At 46.7% G+C, this 27,618-nt stretch overlaps 1 protein-coding gene across 1 annotated transcript in view, besides 6 other annotated features; it reads left to right on the top strand.

Moving 5' to 3' along the window:
* Positions 4,117 to 4,664: an enhancer, noted in NCBI's record as "OCT4-NANOG-H3K27ac-H3K4me1 hESC enhancer chr5:138903317-138903864 (GRCh37/hg19 assembly coordinates)". NCBI's record gives its function as "activates a minimal SCP1, AML or CMV promoter by ChIP-STARR-seq in naive and primed H9 embryonic stem cells {active_cell/tissue: H9 hESC(naive and primed)}" and the evidence as "EXISTENCE:reporter gene assay evidence [ECO:0000049][PMID:30033119]".
* Positions 4,665 to 5,210: an enhancer, noted in NCBI's record as "OCT4-NANOG-H3K27ac hESC enhancer chr5:138903865-138904410 (GRCh37/hg19 assembly coordinates)". NCBI's record gives its function as "activates a minimal SCP1, AML or CMV promoter by ChIP-STARR-seq in naive and primed H9 embryonic stem cells {active_cell/tissue: H9 hESC(naive and primed)}" and the evidence as "EXISTENCE:reporter gene assay evidence [ECO:0000049][PMID:30033119]".
* Positions 6,282 to 6,521: an enhancer, noted in NCBI's record as "active region_23238". NCBI's record gives its function as "activates an Ori minimal core promoter by ATAC-STARR-seq in GM12878 lymphoblastoid cells {active_cell/tissue: GM12878}" and the evidence as "EXISTENCE:reporter gene assay evidence [ECO:0000049][PMID:35858748]".
* UBE2D2 (ubiquitin conjugating enzyme E2 D2) overlaps positions 6,625 to 27,618 on the top strand; it is a 102,195-nt gene continuing 81,201 nt past the window's right edge. Inside the window, exon 1 of the mRNA XM_047417691.1 lies at positions 6,625 to 6,997. The gene's annotated coding sequence lies outside the window, so the exon portion shown is untranslated. The remainder of the gene's footprint in view (positions 6,998 to 27,618) is intronic.
* Positions 20,817 to 21,013: a silencer, noted in NCBI's record as "fragment chr5:138920017-138920213 (GRCh37/hg19 assembly coordinates)". NCBI's record gives its function as "represses an EF-1alpha promoter that drives an FKBP-Casp9 reporter gene in an ReSE screen in HepG2 liver carcinoma cells {active_cell/tissue: HepG2}" and the evidence as "EXISTENCE:reporter gene assay evidence [ECO:0000049][PMID:32094911]".
* Positions 23,417 to 23,978: an enhancer, noted in NCBI's record as "NANOG-H3K4me1 hESC enhancer chr5:138922617-138923178 (GRCh37/hg19 assembly coordinates)". NCBI's record gives its function as "activates a minimal SCP1, AML or CMV promoter by ChIP-STARR-seq in primed H9 embryonic stem cells {active_cell/tissue: H9 hESC(primed)}" and the evidence as "EXISTENCE:reporter gene assay evidence [ECO:0000049][PMID:30033119]".
* Positions 23,852 to 23,941: a silencer, noted in NCBI's record as "silent region_16414". NCBI's record gives its function as "represses an Ori minimal core promoter by ATAC-STARR-seq in GM12878 lymphoblastoid cells {active_cell/tissue: GM12878}" and the evidence as "EXISTENCE:reporter gene assay evidence [ECO:0000049][PMID:35858748]".

Here is a 27,618-nt window from a genome sequence, read left to right on the forward strand (position 1 = left end):
GCACTCTATGCTGACTTTTAAGGACAATAATAGTCCTTCTTCTGGGTAGGGTGTGTTGGTGGTAGATGGCTGGGGAGGTGAGTGAGCTGGGATATTGGATGGGAAGAGGATGAGGAAAGAGAAAAGGAAGGGAGCTCCCAGAAAGGTGTGGTGGCTCATACCTGTAATCCCAGCACTTTGAGCTGAGGTAGGAGGATCACTTGAGCCCAAGAGTTTGAGGCCAGTCTGGGCAACATAACAGTCTGGGCTGTCTCTACAAAAATAGTAGTGGTGTGCGCCTATAATTTCAGCTACTTGGGAGGCTGAGGTGGGAGAATCGCTTGAGCCCAGGAGGTCGAGGCTGCACTGAGATATGATCACACCACTGCACTCCAGCCTGGGTGACAGAGTGAGACTCACTGTTTATTTTTAAGTAAAAATAAAAAGAGTCCGGGTGCAGTGGCTCACGCCGGTAATCCCAGCACTTTGGGAGGCTGAGGTGGGTGAATCACGAGGTCAGGAGAACGAGACCATCCTGGCTGACAAGGTGAAATCCCGTCTCTACTAAAAATGCAAAAAAATTAGCTGGGCGTGGTGGCGGGCACCTGTAGTCCCAGCTACTCAGGAGGCTGAGACAGGAGAATGGCATGAACCCGGGAGGCGGAGCTTGCAGTGAGCTGAGATTGTGCCACCACACTCCAGCCTGGGCGACAGAGCGAGACTCCGTCTCAAAAAAAATAGAAATAAAAATAAAAAATAAAAAAAATAAAAAAGAGAACTTCCCCCACCTCTCTAAGGTGTCCAAGCCCCGAGGAGGCCACCTCCCAGGAACCAGGTCAGGCATCCAGATAGAACTGACTTATAAGTTCTTGACCAGATGTGGTGGCTCACACCTTTAATCCCAGCACTTTGGGAGGCCGAGGAGGGCGGATCACTTGAGGTCAGGAGTTCAGCACCAGCCTGGCCAACATGGCAAAACCCCATCTCTACTAAAAATACAAAAATTAGCCAGGCGTGGTGGCTCACACCTGTAATCCCAGCTACTCAGGAGGATGAGGCACAAGAATTGCTTGAACCTGGGAGGCAGAGGTTGTAGTGATCATCTGAGGTCGGAAGTTCAAGACCAGCCTGACCAACAAGGAGAAACCCCATCTCTACTAAAAATACAAAATTAGCCTTGGGAGGCCAAGGTGGGCAGGTCACAAGGTCAGGAGATCGACACCATCCTGGCTAACACGGTGAAACCCTGTCTCTACTAAAAATACAGAAAATTAGCCAGGCGTGGTGGCAGGCACCTGTAGTCCCAGCTACTCCGGAGGCTGAGGCAGGAGAATGGCGTGAACCCAGGAAGCAGAGCTTGCAGTGAACCAAGATTGCGTCACTGCACTCCAGCCTGGGCGACAGAGCCAGACTCTGTCTCAAAAAAAAAAAAAAAAAATTAGCCGGGCGAGGTGCCTTTAATTCTAGCTACCCTGGAGGCTGAGGCAGGAGAATCGCTTGAACCCGGGAGGCAGAGGTTGCAGTGAGCCGAGATCGCGCCATTGTGTTCTAGCCTGGGCAACAAGAGCAAAACTCCATTCCCCCGCCAGCCCAAAGGAAAAAAAAAAAAAAAAAAGAACTGGTTTATAGGTTCTTGGGGGCAGGCACTGCACACACTCATTTGGGCAGTATTTTCAGCTGTGGGAATGGGTGCCTCTTAATCACCTGCCCACTGGCATCAGGTGCCCTGAAAATCAAAGGCAGGTATACGTGAGGAGGCCAGTCAGATAGGGGCAATGCAGGCTAATGGAGGGTTTGAGCTGGCAGCCTCTGTGAGGACTAAATGTAGATCCCAGCAGAACCCTATCAGTAACCTAATATGCACATGCCTATGCCCAAAGACCTTCAGTCTCCCAGTCAGGTCATCCAAAGCCTCCGCTCAACTAGGCCAACCTCAGAGAGGGGAGGGACACAGGATAGAAAACCCCTTCCCAACCATCTCAATCCTAGTGTTTAGCAACATGTGTGCCAGACCTTGGGCTAACCGATGACAGATATACGGGGCAGATACAGTACCGCAGTAATGCCATCCTTTCTCTCTCTCTCTCTTTTTTTTTTAATTATTATTTTTTTAGATGGAGTCTCTCTCTGTCACCCAGGCTAGAGTGCAGTGGCGTGATCTCGGCTCACCGCAAGCTCCACCTTCCGGGTTCAAGCAGTTCTCCTGACTCAGCCTCCCGAGTAGCTGGAATTACAGGCACTCGCCACCACACCGGGCTAATTTTTGTGTTTTTAGTAGAGACGGGGTTGGTCACGAACTCCTGACCTCAGGTGATCCACCTGCCTCAGCCTCCCAAAGTGCTGGGATTACAGGCGTGAGCCACCGCACCCAACCCGTCATCCTTTCTCTCTTAGGACTCACAGTCTAATGGGGGGAGACAAGTAAACCATGGGGAAAAGGCATGAGACGTGCTGTAACGGGGTTAAGTGAACTAGGAGTAGGCAATGTAGTGCAGTGGTTGGAAGCCTAGACTGGCATCAGATGATGCTACAAGAGTGCTTAGTGCCATGCATGTCCTGTAGGGAGTGATCAATAAATATTTACCTGATGCTATTTACCCAAGATGCTATTGAAGAAGCAAAGCTTATTTTACAAGCCTTCTGCAATTTCCCCAACAAATGTGAACTATCCCTATTAAATGTCTGTAGTTATCTTCCATAGACCCCTTGAACCTAGATGGGCACCCTGCCCTCTCACAGATAGCCTGGGTCCATCACCTGAACGGAAGACAATGGAGAGGGGAGCACAGGGGAAATGGCTGGGATGACAATAGGAGAAAGAAAGACTGGGGGAGGAGCTGGCACCTCCAAAGGAGGTAGCTCAGGCCCCTAGGGTGCCAGGGAATACCAAGGGGGCCCATCTGGTGGAAAGGGGTCCCTGGAGGACTTGTCTTGGAGGTACATTTGCATAAGAATAAGAAAGCATCTGGCTGGGCACGGTGGCTCACACCTGTAATCCCAGCACTTTGGGAGGCCGAGGCGGGCGGATCATTTGAGGTCAGGAGTTCGAGACCAGCCTGGCCAACATAGTGAAACCCTGTCTCTACTAAAAATACAAAAGTTAGGCTGGGCACAGTGGCTCACGCCTGTAATCCCAGCACTTTGGAAGGCCAAGGCGAGTGGATCACCTGAGGTCAGGAGCTTGAGACTAGCCTTGTCAACATGGCAAAACCCCATATCTACTAAAACAGTACAAAAAATTAGCTGGGCGTGGTGGCACACACCTGTAGTCCTAGCTGCTCAGAAGGCTGAGGCAGGAGAATTGCTTGAACCTGGGAGGCAGAGGTTGCAGTGAGCTGAGATCGCGCCATTACACTCCAGTCTGTGCAACAAGAGTGAAATTCTATTTAAAAAAAAAAAAAAAAAAAAAGGCCAGGTGTGGTGGCTTATGCTTGTAATCCCAGCACTTTGGGAGGCTGAGGGAGGTGGCTCACCTGAGGTCAGGAGTTCGAGACCAGCCTGGCCAACATGGTGAAACCCCATCTGTACCAAAAATGCAAAAAATTGTAATCTCAGCTACTTGGGAGGCTGAGGAGGGAGAATCGCTTGAAACCAGGAGGCGGAGGTTGCAGGGAGCCGAGATCACGCCGCTGCACTCCAGCCTGGGCAACAAGAGTGAGACTCCATCTCAAAAAAAAAAAAAAAAAAAAAAAGAACAGGGAAGTTGAACACACTGACATATTGGTTCTTTGAAGACGAACTCATTGTACTTAACAATTTTCCACCTCTTGAATTTTAAAGGAGGTTAACAGGCTAAAACCTTTGAAGAGGAATTTATTGTATCCTACATCACCAAAGCCTGAGGGAGAAGGTGTCATGTTTAGTCCTAATTTATTGTTAAGGAAACTGAAGCACAAAGAAGACGAGTGACTTGGCCAAGGCCATGCAGCTAGCAAGTGGAGGAGCCAGAGCTTTTTGTTCCACCCTCAGCCCCGCTGGTTGGGTTGCCTAGGTCGACCAGACCTGGCCACCCTGGGGAGAAATTGACAAAAGAGGGTTAAAGCTTCAGTCTAGGCCATTTCCCAACCTTCTCGAAGAGCCACATTCTGGCCAGGGCCAGCAGCTGACCCTGGGATGAGGAAGGCGTGGACGGAGCCCTTTCTCAGCACTAGTAACCTTTGATCTCTAGGTGGGGTGGCTAGCAGCGGCACCTGAAAGGATGGCAGGGTGGCTGGACTGGGAGGGACTGGGGATCTAATCCCTTTGTGACCTCAGGGGTGTCTTCAGTAATTGGAGGGACAATGACTGATGGTGGGGGGTATTGAAAATCCCAGTTGTGTGGCGGGAGGGCAGAGATGAGGTGAGGGAGGGGCCTGGAGAAAACTATTGATACAGAAGGACGGGGGGCCAAAGTGCCAACGGGAGGAAGAGAATGGGAAGATGGGGAGCACTGGTTTTGGAGCCCCAGCACGGGCATTTTGTGGTGCTATCATTTTGAGCAATTGAGAACCTTCAGCTTTCTTTTCCTTGTCTGTAACAGTATCTTCCTCCCAGAATAGTTGTGAGGAGTTTGGTACCTAATAAACACTCAGTAAATGCAAGCTATTATTATTACAAAGTACTTAAGATGTGGCCCTGAGTGTGGTGAGCGCTGAGTCCCAGGAGGCCATTGTTATGCATTGCTTGGCTGCCTGTGGAGGCCCAGCCTAGACCCCCAGCTCAGGCTGGAGTGATCAAACGAGGCCTGAAGATCCTGAATGTGAAAGCCCCTTAGGAGGCTCCAGGGATCCTGGGAGCCTAGCCAGGAAGGCCTTTCTGATTATTATTAGGCCCTAGACAGGGGCCCACTTCCAAGCTTGGCCAAATCATTCCTTCTCTAGAAAGGCTCAGTGGCCCCCTGGGCCTTTGGCAGGAGACGTGTGAAAATCCCCAGTGGAATAGGGAAAGCCACACACTAAAGCTGGGCCAGGTGGGCCTTTCGTCCACCCCACCCCCAACCCCATCCCACCCCTGCCGCCTGTTGCCCCTCTCCCCAACCCCCACTGTCAGCAGGTAGTATCTGAGTCTCCAGCGATAGGTTCAGGGCAAATAAAGAATGGAAGATGCCCCAAGAGTACCCTCCTTGTGCTGCCCTCCCCTCCCCAGAGAGTTTGACAGACCATTCCTGGAACCAGGGAGAACAGAGAAAAAGCTATAGGAGGACCTTAAAAATGACCTCCCCTCACTACAGAACTCAAGTGAATGACCTGAAATGGCAGTAGGAGGGATTGCAATTAGACTGCCAGAGGGAATTTACTGACTGACAGCAATGTTAAGTGAGCTAGTTGCAGAGAAGTTATAAAACCTTTTGTTAAAGAAGAATAATAGTTACCTAGTTAGGTGCCTAGTGCTCTTCATACATTTGCTCATCAGTGCCTACAACAATCCCATTGGGTAAGTGCCATTATTATTTCCATTTTACAGATAAAAGCACTCGGCTCAGAGATGGGGAAGCCACTTGCCCAATATTACTCAGCAAAATAAGTGGCAGTGCTGGGGCCTCCACCCAGTAGGCAACCCTGCCTCTTAAACACACATCTTCAGAGAGGGGGTGGGTGGGTCCGATTTAGAGCCTCCCACAATACCTCTCAATGATTCTTGTTTTTAATTAGCAGAATCTCTGGCCATCCCTATAAAGCTGTGACCTAGGAATACAGGCAAATGAGGATCCTGGTTGTCACTGCTACCATTGGCTGAGGGCTTCCAATGAGTTACCAAAAGGGCCCAAAGACCACTCAGAGCAAAAGCTCCTAGTGTCCTCCCTCCAGGATCAGAAGACCTCTTCAAAAAGGAAGCCAAAATGCATGAGACTATCACTCACAGGGGGTAGGAGAAAAGCAGGCAGGAACTGCACAAGCTTTGAAATTCATTCTTGACCTTCTAATTCTCATGCTTAGGATTACCAGGAGTCTACATCCCCATTTTTACAAATGAAGAAACCAAAGTTCAGAAAGATACAGGCATGCAAGTCTCTGAACAAGAAATACAAGTGGCCAATAAACCTATGAAAATTATGCCTGGGGCCAGGTGTGGTTGGCTTACGCCTATAATCCCAGCAGTTTGGCAGGCCGAGGTGGGCAGATCGTCTGAGGTCAGGAATTCAAGACCAGCCTGGCCAACATGGTGAAACCCCATCTGTACTAAAAATACAAAAAAAGCATCCAGATGTGGTAGCATGCGCCAGTAGTCCCAGATCCCCGGGAGGCTGAGGCAGAAGAATTGCTTGAACCCAGAGGGGAGGTTGCAGTGAGCTTGAGGGAAGAGAGAGACACTCTCATATTGTTTTATATTGTTTTATACTCAGTACCTGTTTTAAGAAAAAACAATAAGGAAGTAAAACCAAAGACAGGCAGCCCAGCGCCAGGCCGAAACCAGGCCTGGGCCTGCCTGGCCTAAACCCAGTAGTTAAAAATCAACTCATAACTTAGAAACTGATGTTATTCATAGATTCCAGCCATTGTATAGAAGAACATTGTGAAATTCCCTGCCCTGTTCTGCTTCTCTCTGACCACCGGTGCATGCAGCCCCTGTCACGTACCGCCTGCCTGCTCAAATCAATCACGACCCTTTCATGTGAAATCTTTAGTGTTGTGAGCCCTTAAAAGGGACAGAAATTGTGCACTTAGGGAGCTGGGATTTTAAGGCAGTAGCTTGCCGATGACCCCAGCTGAATAAAGCCCTTCCTTCTACAACTTGGTGTCTGAGAGGTTTTATCTATGGCTCGTCCTGCTACATTTCTTGGTTCCCTGACCGGGAAGCAAGGTGACTGACAGACGGCCGAGGCAGCCCCTTAGGCGGCTTAAGCCTGCCCTGTGGAGCATCCCTGTGGGGGACTCCGGCCAGCCTGAGTGACGCGATCCAAAGAGCGCTCCCGGGTAGGAAATTGCCCTGGTGGAATGCCTCGCCAGAGCAGCGTGTAGCAGGCCCCCGCGGAGGATTAACACAGTGGCTGAACACCGGGAAGGAACTGGCACTTGGGAGTCCGGACATCTGAAACTTGGTAAGACTAGTCTTTGGAACTTGCCCCACTCCATCTGAGTGGAAGCGTGGCCTGATCACCCACGGTGTGCCTGCATTGGCACTTTTGTTCTGGTTTTGACTTGGCTTGACTTGGTAAGACTAGTCTTTGGAACTTGCCCCACTCCATCTGAGTGGAAGTGTGGCCTGATCACCCACGGTGTGCCTGCATTGGCACTTTTGTTCTGGTTTTGACTTGACTTGAATTGCTGGATACTTTAGTTTTGGTTTTCACTTGGCTTAAATTTTTTGGTATTCAGATTTTGAATTTCATGATTTTGGTTTGGTATAAACGGTAAAAGTGTGTGTGTACCCTCTTTACCCATTCTTTGTCTTGTGGTGAGTATGTGTGGTGTGAGCATGGTATTTTGTCTCGGAAGAAAAAAATATGGGTCAGGCGCAAAGTAAGCCCACCCCACTGGGAACTATGTTAAAAAAAAATTTCAAGATTTAAGGGAGATTACGGTGTTACTATGACACCAGAAAAACTTAGAACTTTGTGTGAAATAGACTGGCTAGCATTAGAGGTGGGTTGGCTATCAGAAGAAAGCCTGGAGAGGTCCCTTGTTTCAAAGGTATGGCACAAGGTAACCTGTAAGCCAAAGCACCCGGACCAGTTTCTATACATAGACAGTTACAGCTGGTTTTAGACCCCCTTCCCCCTCTCCCCACAGTAGTTAAGAGAACAGCAGCATAAGCAGCTGGCAGAGGCAAGGAAAGACCAGCAGAGAGAAAAAAAGGCCATCTATACCAATTTTAAGTTAATTTAGACTGAACAAGGTCTTATTAATAGCAAAGGATAATTGAAATCACAAACTTATAAGGTTTTCAACAAAAGTGAAGTTTGCTAAAAGTTAACAGTGTAACATGTATTATGGTAACTTCTAATCTTGTGGCCTTAGACAGTCTAGTCAAAACACATAAAGAAAGTTTGCTTTAAAAAAACAATGGTTATCTTCAAAAATAAAGGGGAGAGGCAGAATTTATATAAAAAGAGTTATATGATAAATTCTTGTCCTGAAATAAATTAACTGGTTGTTTAAAGAAAAGAATGTTTGTAATAAGTCAAAAAGTTAAAACATGTTTAAAAAATTGTCTGCAAAAGTCATAAAAGAAAAAATTTTATTAAAAAAATTTTAAGCAAAAAATGTTGTATAATTTAAAAGTAATAAGGCCTCCTGTGTACTATTAAGACAGATGCAAATTCCTGGTTGAAATGGATCAAATATTCCATCTGCACATTAAACAAAAGCAATTGTTATGCTTGTGCACATGGCAGGCCAGAGGCCCTGATTGTCCCCCTTCCACTAAGGTGGTCCTCTAGTCGACCAGGCGTGGACTGCATGGTAGCTCTTTTCCAGGATTCTACAGCCTGGAGTAATAAGTCATGCCAAGCTCTCTCTGCTATATCCCAAAGTCTCTGCGGGTCAGCCCCCAAGGGCCATGCAGCTTCTGTCTCCCAACACTAAGTTCACTTCGTGTCTCTCACGGCAGAGAGGAAACTTAGTATTCCTTGGAGACCTGAAGGGATGCAGTGAGCTTAAGAATTTTCAAGAGCTTATCAATCAGTCAGCCCTTGTTCATCCCCGAGTGGATGTGTGGTGGTATTGTGGTGGACCTTTACTGGGCACTCTGCCAAATAACTAGTGTGGCACTTGTGCTTTAGTCCATTTGGCTATCCCTTTCACCCTGGCATTTCATCAACCAAAAAAAAAAAGAAAAAAGAAAAACTCATGTCGGCCCCAGCCCTGAGGCTACCTGACCTGACAAAACTCTTTACACTCTGTGTCAGAAAGAGAAAAAATGGCAGTTGGAGTTTTAACCCAGAATGTAGGGCCCTGACCAAGGCCAGTGGCCTATCTCTCAAAACAACTAGACGGGGTTTCCAAAGGCTGGCCCCCATGTCCAAGGGTCCTGGCAGCAAGGGCCCTGTTAGCACAAGAAGCAAATAAGCTAACTCTTAGACAAAACCTAAACATAAAGTCCCCCCATGCTATGGTGATTTTAATAAATAACAAAGGAAACCATTAGCTAATGAATGCTAGACTAACTAGATACCAAAGCTTGCTCTGTGAAAATCCCCGCATAACCACTGAAGTTTGCAACACCCTAAACCCTGCCACCTTGCTCCCCGTATCAGAGAGCCCAGTTAAACATAACTGTGTAGAAGTACTGGACTCAGTTTATTCTAGTAGGCCCAACCACTGAGACCACGCTTAAACATCAGTAGACTAGGAGCTGTACGTGGATAGGAGAAGCTTCGCCAACCCCTGCAAAGTGACTCTGAAGAAGATGACAAGCCCTGCTCCAGTCACACCCGGAAGCTGACTTGTACACACATGGCCGAAGCATGAGGAAACTCATTGCGGGACTCATTTTCCTCAAAATTTGGACTTGTACAATAAGGACTTCAACTGACCTTCCTCAGACTGAAAACTGTTCCCAGTATATACATCAGGTCACTGAGGTAGGACAAAAGATTGCTACAGTCATATTATTTTATAGTTATTATGAATGCCTAAGAACTCCAAAAGGAACCTGTTTGTATAATAACACTCAGTATAAAGTAGGTAATCCAGGCAGTGACCAGCCCAATGTGTGCTATGACCCCTCTGAACCTCCCAAGATCACAGTCTTTGAAGTAAGACTAAGGACTGGTCCTTTTCTAGGTGACACAAGTAAAGTAATAGCTAGAACAGAAGAAAAAGGGGTCCCCAAAAATGTAATCTTAAAATTTGATGCCTGTGCTGCTATTAATAGTAAACAGCATGGGATAAGATGCAGTTCTCTAGATTGGAAAAAAAGTTACACAGCAGAAAATAAGTACATCTGTCAAAAATCATATTTATGCGAGATGTGTCAATACTGGTCTTGTGTCATTTGAGCTACTTAAAAAGAAAATAAAAAAAGATCCTGTTTGGCTCCAAAAATGAAAAGTCAGCCCCTCCTGCACAAGTGGGAGCTGCATCCTTTTAAAATTGATAATCACAAACCCCTCAGACCCAAGTAAAATAAAAAAAAATGTAACATTAGGCATTGATGGAAAAGGGCTGGATCTTAGTGTAAGCATCCTAATAAAAGGAGAGGTTCAAAAACGCTCTCCAGAACCAGTATTTCAGACCTTCTACCAGTATTTTCTACCAGTATTTCAGTATTTCATGATGAACTAAATGTGCCAGTACCTGAGATTCCAGGAAAAACTAAAAATTTGTTTTTTCCATTAGCCGAACATGTAGCCCAGTCTCTACAAGTCACCTCATGTTATGTCTGTGGAGGAACTGTAACAAGAGATCAATGGCCATGGGAAGCCCGAAAATTAGTTCCTACAGACCCAGTTCCTGATGAATTCCCAGCCCAAAAGAACCACCCTGACAATTTTTGGGTTCTAAAAGTCTCAATTATTGGACAGTATTGCATAGCTAGAGAAGGAAAAGGATTCACTCATCCTGTAAGGTGGCTTAGTTGTCTTAGGCAAAAGCTGTATAATGGTACCACAAAAACAGTTACATGGTAGAGTTCCAATCACACAGAAAGGAATCCATTCAGCAAATTTCCAAAGTTGCAGACTGTTTGGGCCCACCCAGAATTCCACCAGGACTGGACGGCCCCCACCAGGTTATACTGGATATGTGGACACAGAGCTTATGCTAAGCTGCCTGATCAGGACAGGTAGCTGTATAATTGGCACCATTAAGCCATCTTTCTTCTTACTGCCCATAAAAACAGGTGAACTTCTAGGCTTCCCAGTCTATGCTTCCTGCAAAAAATGAAGCATAGCCATAAGTGATTAGAAAAATAATGAATGGCCCTCTGAAAGAATCATACAATACTATAGACCCGCCACTTAGGCACAAGAAGGCTCATGAGGATATCGAACCCCTATCTACATGCTCAACTGAATCATACAGTTGCAAGCTGTTTTAGAAATTATTACTAATAAAACCGGTCAAGCCTTGACCGTTCTTGCCCAGCAAGAGACTCTGATGAGAAATGCTATCTATCAAAATAGAATAGTTCTTGACAACTTGGTAGCAGCTGAAGGAGGAGTTTGTAGAAAATTTAACCGTACTAATTATTGTCTACACATAGATGATCAGGGGCAAGTAGTTGAGAATATAGTTAAAGATATAACAAAACTGGCACATGTACCTGTGCAAGTGTGGCATGGACTCAGTCCGGGAGCCATGTTTGAAAATTGGTTCCCAGCAATAGGAAAATTTAAAACTCTTGTAATAAAAATAATAATAGTAATAGGAACCTGCTTACTGCTCCCTTGTCTTATACCTGTATTTCTCCAAATGATAAAAAACTTCGTTGCCACCTTAGTTCACAAAAATGCTTCAGCACAAGCATACTATGTAAATCACTATCAATCTATTGCACAAAAAGACATAAGTAGCAAAAACAAAAGTGAGAACTCCCACTAATAAAAAGTGAGAGTCTCAAAGGGGGGGAAATGAGGGAAGAGAGAGACCCTCTCATATTGTTTTATATTATTTTATACTCAGTACCTGTTTTAAGAAAAAACAACAAAGAAGTAAAATCAAAGACAGGCAGCCCGGCACCAGGCCTGAAAGCAGGCCTGGGCCTGCCTGGCCTAAACCCAGTAGTTAAAAATCAACCCATAACTTAGAAACTGATGTTATTCATAGATTCCAGCCATTGTATAGAAGAACATTGTGAAATTCCCTGCCCTGTTCTGTTTCTCTCTGACCACCGGTGCATGCAGCCCCTGTCACGTACCGCCTGCCTGCTCAAATCAATCACAACCCTTTCATGTGAAATCTTTAGTGTTGTGAGCCCTTAAAAGGGACAGAAATTGTGCACTCGGGGAGATCGGATTTTAAGGCAGTAGCTTGCCGATGCTCCCAGCTGAATAAAGCCCTTCTACAACTCGGTGTCTGAGAGGTTTTGTCTGTGGCTTGTCCTGCTACAAGCTGAGATTGCATCACATACCCCTGCACTCCAGCTTGGGTGACAGAGTGAGACCCTATCCAAAAAAAAAAAAAGAAAGAAAAAGAAAGAAAGAAAAGAAAAGAAAATAATGCCTGGCTGGACACTGTGGCACATGCCTGTAATCCCAGCACTTTGGGAGGCCGAAGTGGGAGGATCACTTGAGCTCAGGAGTTTTAGAACAGCCTGGGCAACAGTGTGGGACCTTGTCTCTACAAAAAATACAAAAACAAAAACAAAAACAAAAACAAAAAACCAGGTGGGTATAGTGGAATGCACCTGTAATCCCAGCTACTCGGGAGGCTAGGGTGGGAGGTTTGCTTGAACCCAGGGGGTCGAAGCTGCAATGAGCCATGGTCATGCAGCTGCACTCCACCCTGGGCAACAGAGAAAGATCCTGGTTGTGTTTTTTTTTTAATTATGCATGACCTCATTTATGATGAGGGATGTTTTGGGGGTGTGAGGAAACACTGTTGGTGGGGGATGTAAATGAGTACAACTTCCTTAGCAAATAATCTGTTAATATCTATCGAAAATTTCAGTTTGCATATCCTTTGACATAGCAATATTACATCTAGGAATTTATTCTACTTTTTTTTTTTTTTTGGGGGGGACAGAGTCTTGCTCTGTTGCCCAGGCTGAAGTACAGTGGCACGATCTCGGCTCACTGCAATCGACCTCCACCTCCCGGGTTCAAGCAATTCTACTGCCTCAGCCTCCCCAGTAGCTGAGATTACAGGCGCCTGCAACAACTCCCGGCTAGTTTTCGTATTTTTTTTTTTTTTCTGAGATGGAGTCTCATTCTGTTGCCCAGGCTGGAGGGCAGTGGCACGATCTCGGCTCACTGCAAGCTCCGCCTCCTCGGTTCACGCCATTCTCTTGCCTCAGCCTCCCGAGTAGCTGGGACTACAGGTGCCCGACATCACACCCGGCTAATTTTTTGTATTTTTAGTGGAGACGGAGTTTCACCATATTAGCCAGGATGGTATCAATCTCCTGACCTCGTGATCCGCCCGCCTTGGCCTCCCAAAATGCTGGGATTACAGGCGTGAGCCACCGCGCTTGGCCTAGTTTTTGTATATCTAGTAGAGACAAGGTTTCACCATGTTGGCCACATTGGTCTCGAACTCCTGACCTCAACGGATCAGCCTGCCTCGGCCTCCCAAAGTGCTGGGATTACAGGCATGAACCTCCATGCCTTGCCCTATTCTACTATTTTTAATGTGCTAAAAAATGAACCTCAGCCAGGCACGGTGGCTCACTCCAGTAATCCTAGCACTTTGGAAGGCCAAGGCGGGTGGATCACCTGAGATCAGGAGTTTGAGACCAGCCTGGCCAACATGGCGAAACCCCGTCTCTACTAAAAAATACAAAAATTAGCTGGGCGTGGTGGCACTTGCCTGTTATCCCAGCTACTCGGGAGGCTGAGGCTGGAGAATCACTTGAACCCGGGAGGCGGAGGTTGCAGTAAGCTGAGATCGCGCCACTGGACTCCAGCCTGGGTGACAGAGCAAGACTCCATCTCAAAAAAAAAAAAAAATATATGGACCTCAACTCCTCAACTTAAATATCCTTCAATAGGGGATATACATACACATACACACTTTTTTTGGTGTGTGAGAGATGGAGTCTCACTCTGTCCCCCAGACTGAGTGCAGTGGTGCAATCTCAGCTCACTACAACCTCTGTGTTGAAAAAAAAATCATTGAATTGTACACCTAAAATGAATGAAATTGATGGCATGTAAATTATACCTCAAAAAAGAGGTTGAAAGGAAAAGAAAAGGGGCCGGGCGTGGTGGCTCACGCCTGTAATCCCCAACACTTTGGGAGGCCAAGGCAGGTGTATCACCTGAGGTCAGGAGTTCAAGACCAGCCTGGCCAACATGGCAAGTTCCTGTCTACTAAAAATACAAAAATTAGCTGGGCGTGGTGTCTGGCGCCGTTAATCCCAGCTACTCGGGAGGCTGAGGCAGGAGAATCGCTTGAACCAGGGAGGAGGAGGTTGCGGTGAGCCCAAGATCGCGCCATTGCACTCTAGCCTGGGCAACAAGAGCTAAACTCCGTCTCAAAAAAAAAAGAAAAGAAAAGAAAAGAAAAGGATTGATAAATTGATAAGGACCAGTGTATTACTGGGAGCGTCAGAAAACAAGTAATTCCAAGAATTTAACTAGAGAACAATCTCAGCATAAATTAAAAAACATCTTTTTTTTTTTTTTGAGACGGAGTCTCACTCTGTCACCCAGGCTGGAGTGCAGTGGCAGGATATTGGCTCACAGCAACCTCCGCCTCCCGGGTTCAAGCGATTCTCCTGCCTCAGCCTCCCGAGTAGCTGGGATTACAGGCGCCCGCCACCAAGCCTGGCTAATTTTTGTATATTTAGTAGAGACACGGTTTCACCATTTTGGCCAGGCTGGTCTTGAACTCTTGACCTTGTGACCCACCCGCCTCAGCCTCTCAAAGTGCTGGGATTACAGGCGTGAGCCACCGCGCCTGGCAAAAAAAACATTTTTTTTTTTAACCTGCACATTCTTTGACCTGGCATCTTCACTTCTGGAAATTTATTACAGGCCAGGCACAGTGTCTCACACCTGTAATCCCAGCATTTTGGGAGGCCCAGGCGGGCAGATCACCTGAGGTCAGGAGTTCGAGACCAGCCTGACCAACATGGAGAAAACCGGTCTCTACTAAAAATGCAAAATTAGCCAGGGGCAGTGGCTCACGCCTGTAATCCCAGCACTTTGGAAGCCTGAGGCAGGCTGATCACGAGGTCAGGAGATCGAGACCATCCTGGCTAACACGGTGAAACCTCTTCTCTACTAAAAATACAAACCATTAGCCGGGCGTCGTGGCGGGCGCCTGTAGTCCCAGCTACTCAGGAGGCTGAGGCAGGAGAATGGCGTGAACCCCGGAGTCGGAGCTTGCAGTGAGCCGAGATCGCGCCACTGCACTCCAACCTGGGTGACAGAGTGAGACACTGTCTCAGGAAAAAAAAAAAAAAAAAATTAGCCAGGCATGGTGGCACATGTCTGTAATCCCAGCTACTCAGGAGGCTGAGGCAGGAGAATCGCTTGAACCTGTGAGGCTGAGGTTGTGGTGAGCAGAGATCATGCCATTGCACTCCAGCCTGGGCAACAAGAGTGAAACTCTGTCTCAAAAAAAAGCATAAAAAAAAGAAATTTATTCTAAGGAAACAGTTAATTGGGCACAAACATTTGTACAATAATATTTCCTATAGTATTGTTTAGAATATTGAATATCTGAAAATAATTCAAGGCTGGGTGCGGTGGCTCACACCTGTAATCCCAGCAGTTTGGGAGGCCAAGGCTAGAGGATTGCTTGAGCTCAGGAGTTCAAGACCAGCCTGGGCAACATGGCAAAACCTTGTCTCTGCTAAAAATAGAAAAATTAGCCAGGTTTGGTGGTACATGCCTGTAGTCCCAGCTACTCAGGAGGCTGAGGTGGGGAGAATCGCTTGAACCTGGGAGGCAGAGGTTTCAGTGAACCAAGATCTCATGCCACGGCGCTCCAGCCTGGGTGACAAAGTGAGACTTTATCTCAAATAAATAAATAAATAAATAAAGTCAGGGTGTGGTGGCTCACGCCTGTAATCCCAGCACTTTGGGAGGCAGAGGCAGGTGGGTCACGAGGTCAGGAGTTCAAGACCAGCCCGGCCAAGATGGTGAAATCCCGTCTCTACTAAAAATACAAAAAAAAAAAAAAAAAGAGACTTGCATGGTGGCGGGCACCTGTAGTCCCAGCTACATGGGAGGCTGAGGCAGGAGAATTGCTTGAACCTGGGAGGCAGAGGTTGCAGTGAGCCGAGATCGCGCCATTGCACTCCAGCCTGGGAGCGAGACTCCGTCTCAAAAAAAAACAAAAAACAAAAAAACAAAAATCAGCCGGATGCAGTGGCAGACGCCTGTAATCCCAGCTACTTTGGAGGCTGAGGCGGGAGAATTGCTTGAACCCAGGAGGCAGAGGTTGCAGTGAGCCGAGATCACACGACTGCACTCCAGCCTGGGTGACAGAGTGACACTATCTCAAAAAAAAATTCAAAAGTTCTCTAATAGAGAATTAGTTAAATAAATATGGAAGGCTATGCCCCTATCAAAGAGCATGAGGCAGGTTTCCATGTATTGACACAAAAGATATTTATGATATACATTTTTATTATTATGGAACATCTGCAACATATACAAAGGTAGAGGAAATGTATTACAGTGAGCTCTCATGCACTCCTTATCCAGCTTCAACAATTACTAACTGTGAGAAGTCTTGTTTCATTAATACTTCCACTTGTTTACATTTTTTTCTTTTCTTTTTTTTGAGATGGAGTCTCGCTCTGTTGCCCAGACTGGAGTGCAGTGGCGTGATCTCGGCTCACTGCAACCTCTGCCTGCCAGGTTCCAGTGATCCTCCTGCCTCAGCCTCCCAAGTATCTGGAATTACAGGCACCCACCACCACACCCGGCTAAGTTTTGTATTTTTATTTATGTATTTATTTATTATTTTATTTATTTATTTATTTATTTGAGACTGAGTTTCGCTGTTGTTGCCCAGGCTAGAGTGCAATGGCGTGATCTCAGCTTACCACAACCTCCACCTCCCAGGTTCCAGCAGTTCTCCTGCCTCAGCCTCCGGAGTAGCTGGGATTACAGGCATGTGCCACCATGCCCAGCTAATTTTGTATTTTTAGTATAGACAGGGTTTCTCCACATTGGTCAGGCTGGTCTCGAACTCCCGACCTTGAGTGATCCGCCCGCCTCCGCCTCCCAAAGTGTATTTATTTATTTTTTAGAGACAGAGTCTCACTCTGTAGCCCAGGCTGGAGTGCAGTGGCATAATCTTGGCTCACTGCAACCTCTGCCTCCCAGGTTCAAGCAATTCTCCTGCCTCAGCCTCCTGAGTAGCTGGGAATACAGGCACACGTGACCAAACCTGGCTAATTTTTTGTATTTTAGTAGAGACGCCCTGTTGTCCCGGATGGTCTGGAACTCCTGAGCTCAGGCAATTCACCCCCCTCAGCTTCCCAAAGTGCTAGGATTACAGGTGTGAGCCACCTTGCCCGGCAATTTTTGTATTTTTAGTAGAGGCTGTGTTTCACCCTGTTGGCCAGGCTGGTCTCCAACTCCTGAACTCATGTGATCCACCCACCTCAGCTTCCCAAAGTGCTGGGATTACAGGTGTGAGCCACCGCACCCGGCCCACTTGCTTACCTTTTATATTATTTTGAAGTAAATCCAAGATATCATTTCATCTGTAAACATAACCATACACAGTATTATTATCATGCTTTAAAAAGTAGTAAACCCAGGCTGGACGAGGTGACTCACGCCTGTAATCCCAGCACTTTGGGAGGCCAAGGCGGGCGGAACACGAGGTCAGGAGATCGAGACCATCCTGGCTAACATGGTGAAACCCCGTTTCTACTAAAAATACAAAAAGAAAATTAGCCGGGCATGGTGGCGGATGCCTGTAGTCCCAGCTACTCGGGAGGCTGAGGCAGGAGAATGGCATGAACCCGGGAGGCGGTGCTTGCAGTGAGCTGAGATCATGCCACTGCACTCCAGCCTGGGAGACAGAGCGAGACTCTGTCTCACAAAAAAAAAAAAAACAACAAAAAGTAATATACCCTTAATATGCTCAAATATCTAGTCATTGTTCAAATTTCCAATTGTCTTATAAACTTCATTTTTAATAGTTTTTTGAAGCGGAATGTAAACAGGGTTCATACATTGTGATTGATTGTTATGCTTCTTAAATATCATTTTTAACAGCTTTATTGAGATAAAATTCACATACCATGCAATCCACTCATTTAAAAAGTACGATTCAATCGATTTTAGTATATTCACAGAGTTGTTTGTCCATTGCCACAATCACTTTTATTAATTTTGCTTTGTTTTGTTTTGAGACAGTCTCGCTCTGTCACCCCGGCTGGAGTGCAGTGGTTCTCACCATGTCTCACCATGTTGGCTAGGCTGGTCTCAAACTCCTGACCTCAGGTGATCCACCCACCTTGGCTTCCCAAAGTGCTGGGATTATAGGCATGAGCCACCATGCTCGGCCTGGAAGAATTTTATTAAGAGAAATTTTCTGGCCAGGCGTGGTAGCTCACGCCTGTAATCCCAGCACTTTGGGAGGCCAAGGTGGGCGGATCACGAGGTCAGGAGATTGAGACCATCCTGGCTAACACGGTGAGACCCCTTCTCTACTAAAAATACAAAAAATTAGCTGGGCGTGTTGGTGGGCACCTGTAGTGCCAGCTACTGGGGAGGCTAAGGCAGGAGAATGATGTGAACCCGGGAGGCGGAGCTTGCAGTGAGCTGAGATCGTGCCACTGCACTCCATCCTGGGCAACAGAGCGAGACTCCGTCTCAAAAAAAAAAAAAAGAGAAACCTTCCCTATTTTGTTAACCTATGGCATGATACAGTTTTTTTGTTTGTTTGTTTGTTTGTTTTGTGGAGATAGAGTCTCACTCTTTCACCTTGGGCTGGAGTGCAATGGCAGGATCTTGGCTCACTGCAACCCCGCCTCCTGGGTTCAAGCAAGCATATGTGGCTAATTTTTGTATTTTTAGTGGAGATGGGGTTTTGCCATGTTGGCTAGGCTGGTCTCAAACCCCTGACCTCAAATCATCAGCCTGCCTCAGCCTCCCAAAGTGCTGGGATTGTAGGGGTGAGCCACCATACCTGGCATGGCATGACATAGTCTTGACAAATAAAAGTACTTTATAGAACACTCAAGTTCATAGCAGCATTACTCACAATAGCCAAAAGGTAGAAGTAACCCAAGTGTCCATCAGCAGATGAAGGGATAAACACAATAAATATCCATATAATTCAGACTTAAAAAGGAAAGAAATTCTACACATGCTACAACATAGATGAACCTAGAAGACATCATGCTAAGTAAAATAAGCCAGTATTCCAAAAGACAAATACTGAGGGATTCTACCAATGTGGGTAGAATCCCTTGGTAAAATATATATATATAAAACAGAGTCTGGTCACAGTGGCCCACGCCTGTAATCCCAGCACTTTGGGAGGCCGAGGCGGGCAGATCACCTGAGGTCAGGAGTTCAAGACCAGCCTGACCAACATGGAAAAACCCTGTCTCTACTAAAAATACAAAGGAATTAGCCGGGCATGGTGGCGCATGCCTGTAATCCCAGCTACTCCAGAGGCTGACGCAGGAGAATCATTTGAACCCAGGAGGCGGAGGTTGCGGTGAGCGATCATGCCATTGCACTCTAGCCAGGGCAACAAGAGCAAAATCCATCTAAAAAAAAAAAAAAAGCATTTTCATTATATGTATATTACTACAATAAAAAAATGTTTAAGTACATTGCAGAATGAAATACTAGTTGGCAACAAAAGGGACGAATGTTGACGCACACAATTTAGATGGATCTCAAGGGAATTACGTGACTGAGAAAAGTCAATCTCTTTTTTTTTGAGATGGCGTCTCGCTCTGTCGCCCAGGCTGGAGTGCAGTGGTGCGATCTCAGCTCACTGCAACCTCCACCTCCCGGGTTCAAGTAATTCTCCTGCCTCAGCCTCCTGAGTAGCTGGGATTACAGGCGCCCACCACCACGACCAGCTAATTTTTGTATTTTTAGTAGAGACGGGGTTTCAACATGTTGGTCAGGCTGGTCTCGAAACCCTGACCTCATGATCCACTTGCCTCGGCCTCCCAAAGTGCTAGGATTACAGGCATGAGCCACCGCACCTGGCCAGAAAAGTCAATCTCAAAAGGTCACATACTATATGATTCCATTTATATAACATTCTCAAAATGACAAAATTATAGACAGAAAATACATTAGTAATTGCCAGGGCTTAGGGAGATAGGGGTGTATGTGTGTGATTCTAAAGAGATGACATGAGGGAGATCTTTGTGGTGATAGAATAGTTCTGTATCTTGATTATGGTGATGGTTACGGGAATCTGTACATATGATAAAATGGTATAAAACTATATACACACATTGTACCAACATCAATTTCCTAATTTATTTTTTTTTAGACGGGATCACCGTCTGTCACCCAGGCGGGAGTGCAGTGGCTCGATCTCGGCTGACTGCAACCTCTGCCTCCCGGGTTCAAGCGATTCTCCTGCCTCAGCCTCCCAAGTAGCTGGAACTACAAGTGCCCGCCACCATGCCTGGCTAATTTTTGTATTTTTAGTAGATATCGTGTTGGGTTTCGCCATGTTGGCCAGGCTGGTCTCAAACTCCTGACCTCAAGTGATCCACCTGCCTCAGCTTCCCAAAGTGCTGGGATTACAGGTGTGAGCCACTGTGCCCGGACAATATCCTTGTTTTGACATTGTACTATGTATATATTTTCTGAGACGGAGTTTCTTTCTTGTTGCCCAGGCTGGAGTGCAATAGCACAATCTCGGCTCACTGCAACCTCCGCCTCCTGGGTTCAAGCGATTCTCCTGCCTCAGCCTCCCGAGTAGCTGGGATTACAGGCATGCACCACTACGCCTGGCTAATTTTGTATTTTTAGTAGAGATGGTGTTTCACCATGTTGGCCAGGCTGGTCGCAAACTCCCAACCTCAGGTGATCAGCCTGCTTCGACCTCCCAAAGTGCTGGGATTACAGCCATGAGCCACCACGCCGGGCTATACTATAATTATATAAGATGTAACCATTGGGGGAAAATGGATGAAGGGAACACTGGAACTCTCTGTACTATTTTTGCTAGTTCCAGTGAATCTATAAATATTTTTAAAAATAACATTTAAATAGTACATCGACATAACCTTCTATGTGACATAAACCCATCTTTGTTTAAAAAAAAGTTAGCTGGGTGTTGTGGCGGGCGCCTGTAGTCTCAGCTACTCGGGAGGCTGAGGCAGGAGAATGGCGTGAACCCGGGAGGTGGAGCTTGCAGTGAGCCAAGATTGTGCCACTGCACTCCAGCCTAGGCGACAGAGCAAGACTCCATCTCAAAAAAAAAAAAAAAAAGAATAATAGCTATCTAATTATCTGTTATTATCCCAGTATACCTTAGAGGAAACCAATGTGCAGGTTTGATTGTTAGCCTGTATTCTTAACCACTATGACATACAGTGTCTATATTTGTGTATACAATATTTACATTAAAAAGTTTGGGTCAGGCACGGTGGTTCATGCCTGTAATGCCAGCACTTTGGGAGGCCAAGGTGGGCGGATCACCTGAGGTCAGGAGTTCGAGAGCAGCCTGCCCAACATGGCAAAACCCTATCTCTACTAAAAATACAAAAAAAATTTGCTGGGCATGGTGGCAGGCACCTGTAGTCCCAGCTACTCGGGAGGCTGAGGCAGGAGAATTGCTTGAACCTGGAGGTGGAGGTTGCAGTGAGCCGAGATCGTGCCACTGCACTCCAGCCTGGGCGACAAGAGCAAAACTCAGTCTCAAAAAAAAAAAAGTCTGGATGCAGCTGGGCACGGTAGCTCATCCCTGTAATCCCAACCCTTTGGGAGGCTAAGGCGGGTGGATTGTTTGAGGTCATGAGTTCGAGAGCAGCCTGGCCAACATGGTGAAACACTGTCTCTACTAAAAATACAAAAATTAGCTGGGCGTGGTAGCATGTGCCTGTAATCCTAGCTACTTGGGAGGCTGAGGCAGGAGAATCACTTGAACCTGAGAGATGGAGGTTGCAGTGAACTGAGATCTGGCCATTGTACTCCAGCCTGGGCCACAAAGTGAGACTCTGTTTCGAAGAAAAAAAAAAAGCGGGGGGACCGGGCATGGTGGCTCACGCTTATAATCCCAGCACTTTGGGAGGCCGAGGTGGGCGGATCACAAGTTCAGGAGTTCGAGACCAGCCTGGCCAACACAGTGAAACCTCGTCTCTACTAAGAATACAAAAATTAGCCAGGCATGGTGGTGGGCGCCTGTAATCCCAGCTACTCAGGAGGCTGAGGCAGGAGAATTGCTTGAATCCAGGAGGCAGAGGTTGCAGTGAGCCAAGATCGGGCCACTGCACTCCAGCCTGGGCCACAGAGCTAGACTCCATTTCAAAAAAAAAAAAAAAAAAAAAAGGTACACATAGGGCTCAATGCTGGCACCTGTAGTCAGAACTACTCAGTAGCTGAGGTGGGAGGATCATTTGACTCCAGGAGTTGGAGTTTAGCCTGAGCAACATAACTAGAACAACCCTACAAAAAAAAAATAATAAAAATAAAAAGTCTCCGGGCTCAGTGGCTCACACCTGTAATCCCAGCATTTTGGGAGGCTGAGGATGGCGGATCACTGGAGTTCAGGAGTTGGAGACTGGCCTGGCCAACATGGTGAAACCCTGTCTCTACTAAAAATACAAAAATTAGCCGGGTATGGTGGCACACAACTGTAATCCCAGCACTTTGGGAGGCTGAGGTGGGCAGATCGCCTGAGGTCAGGAGTTCAAGACCAGCCTGGCCAACATGGCAAAAACCCATCTCTACTAAGTATACAAAAAGTAGCCGGGCATGGTGGCGTGCACCTGTAATCCCAGCTACTCAGGAGGCTGAGGCAGGAGAATTGCTTGAACCTGGGAGGCGGAGGTTGCAGTGAGCTGAGATGGTGTCACTGCATTCCACCCTGGGCGACAGAGCGAGACTCCATCTCAACAACAACAACAAAAAGTGTGAATTCACGAGTACCATTTGTTAGTGATAGTTATTCCTGGGAAGGTAGAGTGGTAGAGAAACAGGCTTACAGGCATGAGCCACCACACTCAGCCTGGAAGAATTCTATTAAGAGAAACTCCCTAACCTACTATTTTGTTAACCTATGGCATGATACAGTTTGTTTTGTTTTGTTTTGTGGAGATAGAGTCTCACTCTTTCACCTTGGGCTGGAGTGCAGTGGCAGGATCTCGGCTCACTGCAACCCCGCCTCCTGGGTTCAAGCAAGCATATGTGGCTAATTTTTGTATTTTTAGTGGAGATGGGGTTTTGCCGTGTTGGCTAGGCTGGTCTCAAACCCCTGACCTCAAATCATCAGCCTGCCTCAGCCTCCCAAAGTGCTGGGATTACAGGGGTCAGCCACCACGCCTGGCATGGCATGACATAGTTTTGACAAATAAAAGTTCTTTATAGAACACTCAGGTTCATAGCAGCATTACTCACAATAGCCAAAAGGTAGAAGTAACCCAAGTGTCCATCAGCAGATGAAGGGATAAACATAATAAATATCCATATAATTCAGACTTAAAAAGGAAATAAATTCTACACATGCTACAACATAGATGAACCTAGAAGACATCATGCTAAGTAAAATAAGCCAACTGTATGGGTTTGTTTCTGTGTTGTTTTAATAGTTTACACAAACATATGTAACTTTTTATTTGTTCATTGAGACGGAGTCGCTCTGTCGTCCAGGATGGAGTGCAGTGGCCTGATCTCAGCTCACTGCAACCTCTGCCTCCCAGGTTCAAGCGATTCTCCTGCCTCAGCCTCCTGAGAAGCTGGGACTACAGGCGCGCGCCACCATGCCTGGCTAATTTTTGTATTTTTAGTAGAGACGAGGTTTCACCATGTTGGTCAGGCTGGTCTCGAACTCCTGACCTCGTGATTCGTCTGCCTCAGCCTCCCAAAGTGCTAGGATTACAGGCGTGAGCCACCGTGCCTGGCATATGTTACTTTTTAAATTAAACAAAAATATTAAAGAAATTTTCATGGGGCTGGGGGAAGAAGGTAAACTTTGTGTGACACCCCTCCTTTATGAACTAATGGAGAACATATACCCTACATTAGTTACATTATTCTGGAAGATGAACGCTTGGCACAGTGAGCTGCCAAACTGTTAGGGTGTCCTCCTTTCCCCGCTCCACTTTATATCCATCTCTTTGGCCATTCTGCCTTCCGTGGGCCCAGCTTCCCTCTATACCCACGTAGATCCTGGATTGCACGTCAGTAGGCGGGCTGCAGAGGAAGGGCGCTGTTCTGGTTGGTCCTGGCCTTACCCCGCCGGAGGGCGCCAGCTGCCCCGGCGACGACACGGGGGACCGGACGGAGCCTCGGGCCGCCAGGGAGGGGCCTGGCTGCAGAGGCAGCTTTCTCACTAGCGACTCGGGCCTCTCAAAACCAGCCTTTAGGCATTTAAAAAGTGATACGGTTCACGCCGGTCTTCGCCACCAGATCCCAATTCTTTCCTGAGAGCAGTGCTGAAGTGACAATAGGCCCATAGCATTAAATGTCGTCTGCTTCCTTCTTCAAAGAAGACCGACTTCAACCAAAAGTTCAATTTCCTTAATGTAAATTAGAGGGAAATCAGCAATCACACTATCTGGAGTAGGCACAATTTGCATGAAGCCTTTGACAGGTGTTCACTTCATTTTCTTTTCCCACAGAGAGCCATTGAAGGCAGCAGGAATGTCAATGGAGTGATTTAGGGAACCCCACAGAAGACAAAGGATTTTTTTCTATTTCTTTGTTGTTGATAACAAAAGCAAAATATGCTTATTTAAACTGTAAATAATGTGACAGAGTATAAAGCAAAAAGTGAAAGAATCTTCCTTCACTTTCTCATGCAATTGCACAGGGATAACTAAGTAACTGCTGTTAAAAATGTGTTACTCATCTGTCTAGATCTTTTTTCTTTCTTTCTTTTTTTTTTTTTTTAATAGAGATGAGGTCTTGAGACGTTACCCAGGCTGGTCTGGAACTCATGCAGTCCTCCCACCTCAGCCTCACAAAGTGCTGAGATTACAGGTGTGAGCCACTGCAATTTTTTTTTTTTTTTTAGACAGAGTTTTGCTCTTGTCGCACAGGCTGGAGTGCAATGGCGCGATCTCGGATCACCGCAACCTCCACCTCCCAGGTTCAAGCGATTTTCCTGCCTCAGCCTCCCGAAGTAGCTGGGATTACAGGCGTCCACCACAATGCTCAGCTAATTTTTTTGTACTTTTAGTTGAGACAGGGTTTCACCATGTTGGCCAGGCTGGCCTTGAACTCTTGACCTCAGGTGATCTACCCACCTCAGCCTCCCAAGTGCTGGTATTACAGGCGTGAGCCACTGCGCCCTGCCAAGCTACTGCATTCTAACCACACACACACACACACACACACACCCCAAAATTTTATGAAGATTAAAGAAAACCTTTTATTGAGGTATAACTTACAATAAATAGTGCACATTTAAGTGTGCAGCTCCTTTAATTTTTTACATATGAATACATCATTGAGACTTTCTGTAACCCACTTTATACTGTAGTTTGCTTTTTTTTTTCTTTTTTTAGACAGTCTTGCTCTTTTGCCAGGCTGGAGTGCAGTGGCGCGATCTCGGCTCACTGCAACCTCTGCCTCCCAGGTTCAAGCGATTCTCCTGCCTCAGCCTCCCAAGTAGCTGGGACTACAGGTGTGCATCACCACGCCCGGCTAATTTTTTTTTGTACTTTTAGTAGAGATGGGGTTTCACCATGGTGGCCAGGATGGTCTCGATCTTTTGACCTCGTGATCCACCCGCCTCGGCCTTCCAAAGTGCTGGGATTTCAGGCGTGAGCCACTGCACCTGGCCTGCTTTCTTAACTCAACAATGCTGTGGTAGTTCTTCCATAGGGACATACAGATCTAACTCGATCTAACTCACGCTTTTTATGGTGGAATAGTATTCCATAGTATTAATTATGGTAATCTAATTAACTTTTCCCAATTGATGGATAGATTGTCTTCAATTTTATTATTTTTAGATATGATAGGGATCTCTATGTTGCACAGGCCGGACTTGAATTCCTGGACTCAAGGTATCCTCCTGCCTCGGCCTCTAGAGTAGCTGAGACTATAAGCATATGCCACTGCTCTCAGCTTTGTCTTCTATTTTTTTTTTTTTACTATTGCGTGTTACCAGATTTTAAATTTTCTTTTTTTTTTTTAATTTTTTTTTGTGGTGGAGTCTCGCTCTGTTGCCCAGGCTGGAGCACAATGGCATGATCTAGGCTCACTGCAACTTCCGCCTCCCGGGTTCAAGTAGTTCTCTGCCTCAGCCTCCCGAGTAGCTGGGATTATAGGCACCACCCACCATGCCCAGCTAATTTTTGTATTTTTAGTAGAGACAGAGTTTCACCATCTTGGCCAGGCTGGTCTTGAACTCCTGACCTCCTGATCCACTCGCCTCGACCTCCCAAAGGTCTGGGATTACTGGCGTGAAACACTGAGCCCAGCCTACATTTTTTTTTTTTTGGAAACAGAGTCTTGCTCTGTCGCCCAGGCTGCAGTACAGTGGTGTGATCTCTGCTCACTGTAACCTCCATCTCCCAGGTTCAAGTGACTATTCTGCCTCAGCCCCCTGTGTAGCTGGGATTACAGGCATGTACCACCATGCCCAGCTAATTTTTGTATTTTTTTAAGTAGAGATGGGGTTTCACCATGTTGGCCAGGCTGGTCTCGAACTCCTGACCTCAAGTGATCCACCCGCCTCAGCCTCCCAAAGTGCTGGGATTACAGGCATGAGTCACCGTGCCTGGCCTTAAATTCTATTTCTTTCTTTTTATTTTTTTCTTTTGAGACAGTTCTGCTCTTGTGACCCAGGCTGGAGTGCAATGGCGTGATCTTGGCTCACTGCAACCTCCTTTTCCTGGCTTCAAGCGATTCTCCTGCCTCAACCTCCCAAGTAGCTGGGATTACAGCTGCCCACCACCATGCCCGTCTAATTTTTGTATTTGTAGTAGAGACGAGGATTCACCATGTTGGCCAGGCTGGTCTTGAACTCCTGACCTCATGATCCGCCCTCCTTGGCTTCCCAAAGTGCTGGGATTACAGGCATGAGCCACTGAGCCTGGCTGCCTGGCTAATTTTTGCATTTTCAGTAGAGACAGAGTTTCACCATATTGGCCAGGCTGGTCTTGAACTCCTGACCTCATGAACCACTTGCCTCGGCCTCCCAAAGTGCTGGGATTACTGGCGTGAGCCGACTGTGCCTGGCCTAAATTTTCTTTTGTTTGAAACAGAGTCTTGCTCTGTCACCCAGCCTGGAGTACAGTGGTGAGATCTCAGCTCACTGTAACCGCCACTTCCCAGGTTCATGTGATTATTCTCCCTCAGCCCCATGTGTAGCTGGGATTACAGGCATGCACCACCACGCCCAGCTAATTTTTGTATTTTTTAAAGTAGAGATGGAGTTTCACCATGTTTGCCAGACTGGTCTCGAAATCTTGACCTCAAGTGATCCACCTGCCTTAGCCTCCCAAAGTGCTGGAATTACAGGCGTGAGCCACCGTGCCTGGCCTTAAATTTTCTTTCTTTCTTTCTTCTTTCTTTCTTCCTTCCTTCCTTCCTTCCTTCCTTCCTTCCTTCCTTCCTTCCTTCCTTCCTTTCTTTCCTTCTTTCTTTCTTTTCTTTCTTTCTTTTTTTTTGACAGAGTTTTGCTCTTGTGACCCAGGCTGGAGTGCAATGGCGTCATCTTGGCTCACTGCAACCTCCTTCTCCCGGCTTCAAGAGATTCTCCTGCCGGCCGGGCAAGGTGGCTCACGCCTGTAATCCCAGCATTTTGGGAGGCTGATACGGGCGGATCACGAGGTCAGGAGATCAAGACCATCCTGGCTAACACGGTGAAATCCCGTCTCTACTAAAAATACAAAAAAATTAGACAGGCGTAGTGGCGGGCGCCTGTAGTCCCAGCTACACGGGAGGCTGAGGCAGGAGAATGGCGTGAACCTGGGAGGCGGAGCTTGCAG

The sequence above is a fragment of the Homo sapiens genome, chromosome 5 (assembly GCF_000001405.40).
Source record: "Homo sapiens chromosome 5, GRCh38.p14 Primary Assembly".
Taxonomy (NCBI): domain Eukaryota; kingdom Metazoa; phylum Chordata; class Mammalia; order Primates; family Hominidae; genus Homo; species Homo sapiens.